Below are 8,351 nucleotides of genomic sequence, written 5' to 3'. Positions count from 1 at the left end.
CAAATTAGTTTAGTGAGAGAAAAGATAACAGATTGGAAGAGAATTACCATATTCATTAGTTGTGTTTTTAAAATTTTAAAGTAAAATAGAGACATGATTTTTTTCATGCTTTTGAATGCATCTATAAAAAATAGACTTGAGGGCTGGGCGCAGTGGCTCACGCTTGTAATCCCAGCACCTTGGGAGGCCGAGGAGGGCGGATCACGAGGTCAGGAGTTGGAGACCAGCCTGACCAACATGGTGAAAACCCGTCTGTACTAAAAATACAAAAATTAGGCGAGTGTGGTGGCGCGCGCCTGTAATCCCAGGTACTTAGGAGGCTGAGGCAGGAGAATCACTTGAACCCGGGAAGCGGAGGTTGCAGTGAGCCAAGATCGCACCATTGCATTCCAGCCTGGGTGACAGAGTGAGACTCCGTCTCAAAAAAAAAAAAAAAAGTTACTGATTAATAGCATAGACCAATTGGCCTCTATTGAAATTTCTCCATTATTTTCACAATGTCCCAGGCTGTGAAACCAGTATTTAATAAAGAACCAGAATGCCACATCTGTGTCACCTGGGTAGGGACCAGTCCTGATACATTAAGTCCGGGTCTCTGGGTAACTGGACTCAACTGCTGGGCAAAACAGAATGTCCGGCATGGGTTCCTAAAGGGGGACCGCAAAGCTTCATGGGAATTGTAGTGTCACCTTCCAATGACGTTACCATCAAGGACTTTGGGAACCAGCTTTTCTCTCTGCGCATGCGCCACCCGGCCCACTCCGCCATTTTCCTCTGGAAGTGTGGCACCCAGAGGCGGTCCTGTAGCTGGGCCGGCTTGGGGCTTGGTTCTATGTCCCTGTGGGTCGGTGCAAGGGCCAGGAGGAACCCGTGAGCCTCAGGGGATCCCAGGGGGCCGGACCAGTGTTCCCTAGTTGTGGGAGCAGACGCGTGGGCGCATCGAGGGAGGGCAGGGCCTGAAGAGCAGGAGCGGGCTGCCGACCCTGGCGGGGGCTGGGAGGACAGGCGTGGGGGCCCAGCAGTGACGCGGGTTCTAGAGACACAGGAGCGGGTAGGAGAGGCCGGTGGCCCTGGGCCCGGAGTCTGCAGGCCGTGCTCCTGTCCTGCCGCTGAGGGACACGGTTACCAACCCGCATGATGCTCAGTTTGCCCATCTGTCCCAGTGCTAACACACAGTTCTCGGGAGACGTTCCCCATTCCCAGAGGAGTAGTGTGAAATGCGTGCGCCGCTAGTCTTAAACTTGACGTTTGTATTAGTTGGGTTTCCTGGTGTCTCTTTAGCAAGTGAAGTTTCTGGTTCCCTCCTTCACTGTGTGACCTGCCTAGTCCTCCTGGGTCGCATTTACAGAAGTTTATACGAGACCTAGTTTCCAGGGAAGAACTCACTGATTCCGCGAGGGAGATGGCGTAATAGATGATGGTCGTCAGCCTTAAGGGTACTTCAGTCTTAACTGTGTGTTAGAAAGTTTGAAAGGGAGGGTTCCCTATGAATAAGAAGCACACTTGAAAGAACAGCCGTCTGGTCTAACCTCTCACTGGTGCTTCAGAGGAGGAAAAAAGGTCACAGGTGAAGATCCCAGTTTTCCTTGCTCAGGAAATATTAATTCTACTCCCTAGAATGCACAAGATTTGCAAAGACTAGGTGATAGTAGAAGGTTTGGACGAACTTTCAGAAGGTTGAGGTGAATTCAGCTGAGAAAAACAGGCAAGGACTTAGGAAATATTCCTTATTTGAAGGGGCCTGAAAGTGTGGTCTGGGGTACAGGAGTGACCTGTCATACTTGAGAGGATTAAAATACTCTCCAAACACAGTCCCATTCCTTCAATCTTAGCTCGTTTTTTCGCGTCTGAGATATATTAAACCTAGTCCATCACCAAATTTAGCATTAGATTGCGAAGTTCTATTGATTGTATTTGATTTGTAATTTAAGATTTTCTCCCCCTACATAATTTTGTTAAAAACACAGAAGTGAATTCTGTTCACTTAGGTGTAACAGTTAATACTTGCTGTTTAAGGAACTAATTAAACCTTACTGGCTTATAAAAAACAACCACCATTTTATTTGTTTGAAGTTCTGTGGATCTGCATTTTGGTGTGGTGGATTCACCTGGGTAGTTGATATATTTGTGTTGCCTGGATCACAAAAAGGCCTTAGTCACCTGGTGCCTTGACTGAGCCTGGTTGGTTTAAGATAGTTTCCTTCACAATCTGGTGGTTTGTGGTGACTCTTGTCTAGGCCCTGTGTCTCCAACAGGGTAGCTCCAGACCTCTTCACAATTTCTCCCAAAAAAGGAAGAACCAATGGATATTTGCATCACATTTTCCATTGTCCATTCACTGGACAAGTCAGATGGAAAAGCCCAATTTATTGTCAGAGCATAATATGAGGGCTTGGATAGAAGGAAAGGTGTTATTGGGAAACATGAGTAGAATGGTGTAGTGTAGGCAATACGCATTATGTACATTTTAAAAAGCGTAATTGTAGGCCAAAATTGCTGGTTTGCTAGATGCACTTTCCATGATGTTCAGGTGTAGAAAATCAAGAGGTACTGTCACGGGAACACTCATATGAAGTTATTTGTGAAATCTACATATTAATAGGAAAATAGTTAATACAGCCCAGTATATTTCTATAACATTTATTTTAGTGAACTTATGTTTCTTTGTATTAAATTATTAGATTATATCTTTAGATAATATTGTTACTAAATTAGTAGGTAATACATATATTTATTCAAAAATAAATTGTGCATCTAATGTCTACCAATTAATGTACTTGTCTATGTATCTTATCTTAACTTGAGCCTCTGCTGCCCCTAATGAGGCGTGAAGAACTCTTCTCCCCTGGAGAAGTTTTTCTTTTTCAGGAGGGAGGAGGGCTTTCCGGGTAATGTGTCTAGAGCGTTGGGCAGAAGAATCTGGGACCACACCACACCAGTTCTCTCCTTAATCCACGTCATTTGCCTTCTATCCCAGCTATGTTTCCAGTGTCCTCTGGGTGTTTCCAAGAGCAACAAGAAACGAATAAATCTCTGGTGAGTTGCTTCCTTGTTCTTCACTTTGTTTTACACTGTATTTTCTGAGTTTATGGGTGTCTGTGAATTAAAAAGGAAAAGCAGAAATAAGTAAAACTCAGGTTGAAGGAAATATACATAAATAAGATAAAGCTGACCTGTAGATATAGGCAGGTTATAAGAGCTTAGAGTAGTCTAAGTTGGGTGCAAATTTTCCTCTGATCTTTCTGATGCTGAGACAAAAAAGGCAGTCATATTTGTTACGTAATTGGAATGGAACCCGAGAAGAGAGCATGCTGTGTTCTTGTGGGACAGGAAAGATTGTGTGCACCAAGTCCGAACCACCACCTTCACTGGTGACATAGATTATGTGCTGGAACATATTTCACACCGGCCTGGCAGTAACCACTTGTAGTGTTGTACAGTGGAAACGGTCATCTTCCGCTAAAGCACGGCGTGTTGTGCAGTGGAAATGGTCATCTGCCGCTAAAGCACAGCTTCCATCGTAAGGTGTGCTCATTGCTCAAAGAGTGTGGTCCCAAACAGCTTTTGGGAGGTCCTCCTTGATTCATGGATGAAACCCAGAACATCTTGACGACTGAGTTAACCATAGGCCCTTAAATAACTCTCCAGACATTTTTCTTAGTTTATCTCTACATGCAGGGTGTGCAGCAGCCTGTTCAAAGTCATATTTTCTGGGAAATATTTCCAGTGTTTATTTGCACTTTAGCCCACTCTGTGTAGTCTTAACTTATTTCTTCTAAGCTCACCATTAACCTAATTAATAGTCAAATTTAGGGGGACTGTATTTGACTTACTCAAGTCTTCTACCATAGTTGAAACTGTCGTACCCGAGTGAGTTAGAGATAAACGCCACACTTTGAGACGAATTCAGGGGTCCTTTATTAGCTGGTGACTGAGAGACGGCTAATGCACGAAATTCTCTCGGCCCCGAAGAAGGGACTAGATTTTCTTTTATACTTTGGTTTAGAGAGGGGAGGGGGGATTCTAGCTGCAGCAACTTTACAGAAGAAAAAAACAGACAAAAAAGTTAAAAAGACAGATGGTTACAGGAAAACAAACTGTTCCAGGTGCAGGGGCTTTAAATTCACCACAAAGTGATAGGTGAGGGGGCTCTGGGCATTATCTGCCAGACAAATGTGGGGCTTTATGATACTATCTCTGAATAAATTGCTGGGAACTGCAGACATCGCTTGTCTAAGCACTTTATCAGTTAATTGCACTCTTTGATATGTTGAAAGTCAACTTGCACAAGTTAAAGTCCTTGAGGAAAGGGGGTGGGTAGGGAGCCCTTGATGTCTTGTAAATGAAGGAGCCAAATGGAGTTTGTCTGGTTTTCTCAGCTAAGGGAGAGTCTATTCATATTAAAAACAAGGTTAGCTATCTAAGGGAGAGTCTATTCATGTTACAACGTTGGGTATTACAAAACATCTGTTCATGATCTGGAAATTCTTCTGTGTTAGTTCTGTTAAAAGAAAAACTTTAAAGGAGTTTAATAGAGCAATAAACGATTCACGAATCAGACAGTACCCAGAATCACATCAGATTCACAGAGACTCCAGCGCATTCATGTGGTGGAAGAAGATTTATAGACAAAAGGGAAATGGCATACCGAAATCGGAAGTGAGGTACAGAAACAACTCAGTGTTTGCCTTGTTTGAACACAGTTTGAACATTTGCCAGTGCCTGAGTGGTTGAAGTTTGGCCATTGGGATTGGCCAAGATGTAGCTGTTGTTCAAGGTGCATACTCTTAAGTTAGTTTTTCATTCTTCTATACCTATTAAGGTAGGTTACAGTTCATCCACAATGACTCATATATAGAATTATGGAGTCCTTCTCAGGCCATACTTAGTTCACTTTAACAATGCCTTCCCTTTGGTTATTTTCTCAATTTTGAGAGATTGGCCAAAACTTCAGTCACTGGTGTCACTATTACCATTGCAAATGTACTTACTTGGTTTAGAAACCCACTGGGAAATAGACCAGTGAGATTTGAAAAGGTGGAACAAGGACTTGAGTAGAAGGTATCTTCTTATGCTGGAACATCCTGTTTACAGGAGAAAAACAAAACCTGGTTTGTTCTAGGATTTATGTGTTTCTTTAAAGTCTTAGTTTCATTATGTTACATTTAGCATGAGTGACTCCATTTTGGTTTGGTTTGGTCTGTTGGGACCTATTGCATGAGTTTAGTTCAAAACAATGACCTCCCATAATTTTGCTTAAAAAATTCCTCCTTTTGGCTGGGCGTGGTGGCTCACACATGTAATCCCAGCACTTTGGGAGGCTGAGTTGGGCAGATCACGAGGTCAGGAGATTGAGACCATCCTTGCTAATATGGTGAAACCCCATCTCTACTAAAAATACAAAAAATTAGCCAAGCATAGTGGTGGGTTCCTGTAGTCCCAGCTACTCAGGAGGCTGAGGTAGGAGAATGGCCTGAACCTGGGAGGCAGAGCTTGCAGTGAGCCAAGATTGTGCCACTGCACTCCACTCTGGGGGACAGACCAAGACTCTGTCTTAGAAAAAAAAGTCCTCCTTTTCAGTCAAGTTCTCACTTAGTTGAGAGTGTGACCAAAATGTAGGGCCTTAGCATCACTCTTACCATTGTTTTGGGTTCCAGTTTTAGCACGTCACTCCCATTGTTTGGGGTTCGGGTTTAGCACGTCACTCCCATTGTTTTGGGTTTCTGGTTTAGCAGGACGCTCCCATTGTTTCGGGTTTCTGGTTTTAGCACGTCACTCCCATTGTTTTGGGTTTCTGGTTTAGCAGGTCACTCCCATTGTTTTCAGTTTCTGATTTAGCAGGATGCTCCCATTGTTTTGGGTTTCTGGTTTAGCAGGTCACTCCCATTGTTTTGGGTTCCGGTTTTAGCACATCACTCCCATTGTTTTCATTTCCGGTTTTAGCACATCACTCCCATTGTTTTGGGTTCCAGTTTTAGCAAGTCACTCCCATTGTTTTGGGTTCTGATTTTAGTGCACATCACCCCCATTGTTTTGGGTTCCAGTTTTAGTATATCACTCTCATTGTTTTGGGTTTCTGGTTTAGCACGTCACTCCCATTGTTTTGGGTTTCTGGTTTTGCAGGTCACTCCCATTGTTTTGGGTTCTGGTTTAAGCACATCACTCCCATTGTTTTCATTTCCTCTTTTGGCACGTCACTCCCATTGTTTTGGGTTCCAGTTTTAGCAAGTCACTCCCATTGTTTTGGGTTTCTTGTTTAGCACGTCACTCCCATTGTTTTGGGTTCTGATTTTAGTGCACGTCACTCCCATTGTTTTGGGTTCCCGTTTTAGTACATCACTCCCATTGTTTTGGGTTTCTGGTTTAGCATGTCACCCCCATTGTTTTGAGTTTCCGGTTTAGCATGTCACTCATAGGTTATGGTGTCCTTACGGTTGCACTTTTTTTTAATCTCTTGTCATTCCAGTTGAAGAGATACCATTTGATATTTTAGAGATGCCTGCATGCAAACTCTTAAAACATTTGAGTAAGTACAGTGCACCAGGGAGACTCTTATGACTGTTGGGATAACACCAAGAATTTGGTATATGCTCCTAACTCAGGGTCCCCATAAATCAAACCACCTAAAATAAAATAGATTAAAGAATGAATTAGATAAAGAGTTTACTTGCTTAACTAAGTGGGTTTTTTTGTTAATTCCCTACAACCAAATTTTTATAATACCCCATGTTTTCTCCACATGCTGTAAGTGTTAGCAGCTGCACAGATACTTAAGATAAGTGTCTCATGTTAGTAGAGAAGTCTTGATCTGTGATCTTGGGAAAAGCTGTTCACATTAAGGATGCCATCTTCTTCTGGGGGGAACTGTCCTTGTTAGCTTTACCTTAAGGGTTCCAATGGGTATATGGTTCCAAGTGTGGAAGGACCTTTCTGAGTTGTGAGACTATGAACCCAAAGTTTAAGGTTTTAAAGTTTTGCTGTCATGTGGATGGCAAGGGCAGTCCTTCTCTGATGTTCTCAGAAGATCCAGTCATCAGATTCCAGATTTTGAAGGGGTTGACTGTCCTCAGTGAACCATAAAAGGCTTTCTTTACCTGGTGAAAATACACTTCAGGGTAATAATCTACTGTTTTAACATCAACTCTCTCGCATGGAAGAGCTTTTATACAATCAGAAAACATGCACTAAAAATGACAACTGAATCAAATCCCTTTATAAAATGTTTAAATGGCCCATCAGGTAACCAAATGTACCTGAAGTTTTGATTGTTTTCCTAGAAATATAGGTTTGACAAACTAAACATTGGTTATAAACTATTTTAACAGTTTAGAAATCACCACACCAATATATTTAATTTGGATCATTTTCTCTTTCCATGATGAGTTATGGAATGCAGAACTTTTAATAACAAAAGTTTTAAGGACTTAAGAAGGATAAGGTGGCCATCCTGGTTCTTCATAAGTCTGTGCTTAATTAACATTAGACTTACATCCTCTTGAATACCAGCTGTTTCTCCAAATTACGTGCATGGCACTGGTAACTGATGAGTAGTTATAGGTGATTTGACTCAGACCATGGAGTTTATTTAAATTATATACCTAAACAATTTCAATATTGGTGATTTAGCATGCAAATGTGGCAAAATATTTCCTTGGTATACAATTTTTGTTTTACTTAGGTTAGCAGTTTTATAAACAAGTTGGTCTATTTATTAAACTTTTGGGATTTTTTTTCGAGACAGAGTCTCACTCTGTTACCTAGGTTGGAGTGCAGTGGCACAATCTTGGCTCACTGCAACCTCCACCTCCTGGTTTCAAACAATTCTCTTGCCTCAGCCTCCAGAGTAGCTGGGATTACAGGCACATACCACCACACCCGGCTAATTTTTACATTTTTAGTAGAGGTGGGGTTTCACCGTTGGCCAGGCTGGTCTCAAACTCCTGACCTCAAGTGATCCACTGGCCTTGGCCTCCCAAAGTGCTGGGATTGCCAACGTGAGCCGCTGCACCCAGCCTAACTTTTGAGAATTCTTAACCTGTCCAATTCTTGGGGTATCAGGGAACTTATGGGGAATTTTTACCCATTATATTAAAGTTATTAAAAATCTGTGTTCACGAGTGTTTTTCAGGATCCTTTTCATTCTTTCATGAATCTTCTAAGAGACACCATATTCTAGAATTTTGCATGCTTGTGAAGTTTTTAGAAACTGCATCACCATTAAGCAATTAACTGTGGAAATGACTTTAAATAGTTATAGATAAAGACAATTGACAAGGAAATTTGGTTATTTCTGTGGTCTACAATAACTTAATAACCATAATTAGGGTGGATGTGGTGGCTCATGCCTGTAA

At 42.1% G+C, this 8,351-nt stretch overlaps 1 long non-coding RNA gene across 2 annotated transcripts; it reads left to right on the top strand.

Annotated features, from left to right (window-relative positions):
* The first annotated feature begins 768 nt into the window (after positions 1-768).
* LOC105379428 (uncharacterized) lies at positions 769-6,614 on the top strand. 2 transcript variants are annotated; one of them, XR_001755412.2, is made up of 3 exons: positions 769-1,567; positions 2,978-3,036; positions 6,467-6,614. It is a non-coding gene; the product is annotated as an uncharacterized LOC105379428 (long non-coding RNA). The 2 variants fall into 2 exon arrangements; XR_002958734.2 differs by having other exon boundaries at positions 789-844.
* Positions 6,615-8,351: the final 1,737 nt, after the last annotated feature.

Source organism: Homo sapiens, chromosome 22, assembly GCF_000001405.40.
Source record: "Homo sapiens chromosome 22, GRCh38.p14 Primary Assembly".
Taxonomy (NCBI): domain Eukaryota; kingdom Metazoa; phylum Chordata; class Mammalia; order Primates; family Hominidae; genus Homo; species Homo sapiens.
This window is presented reverse-complemented; position numbering and strand designations above follow the sequence as displayed.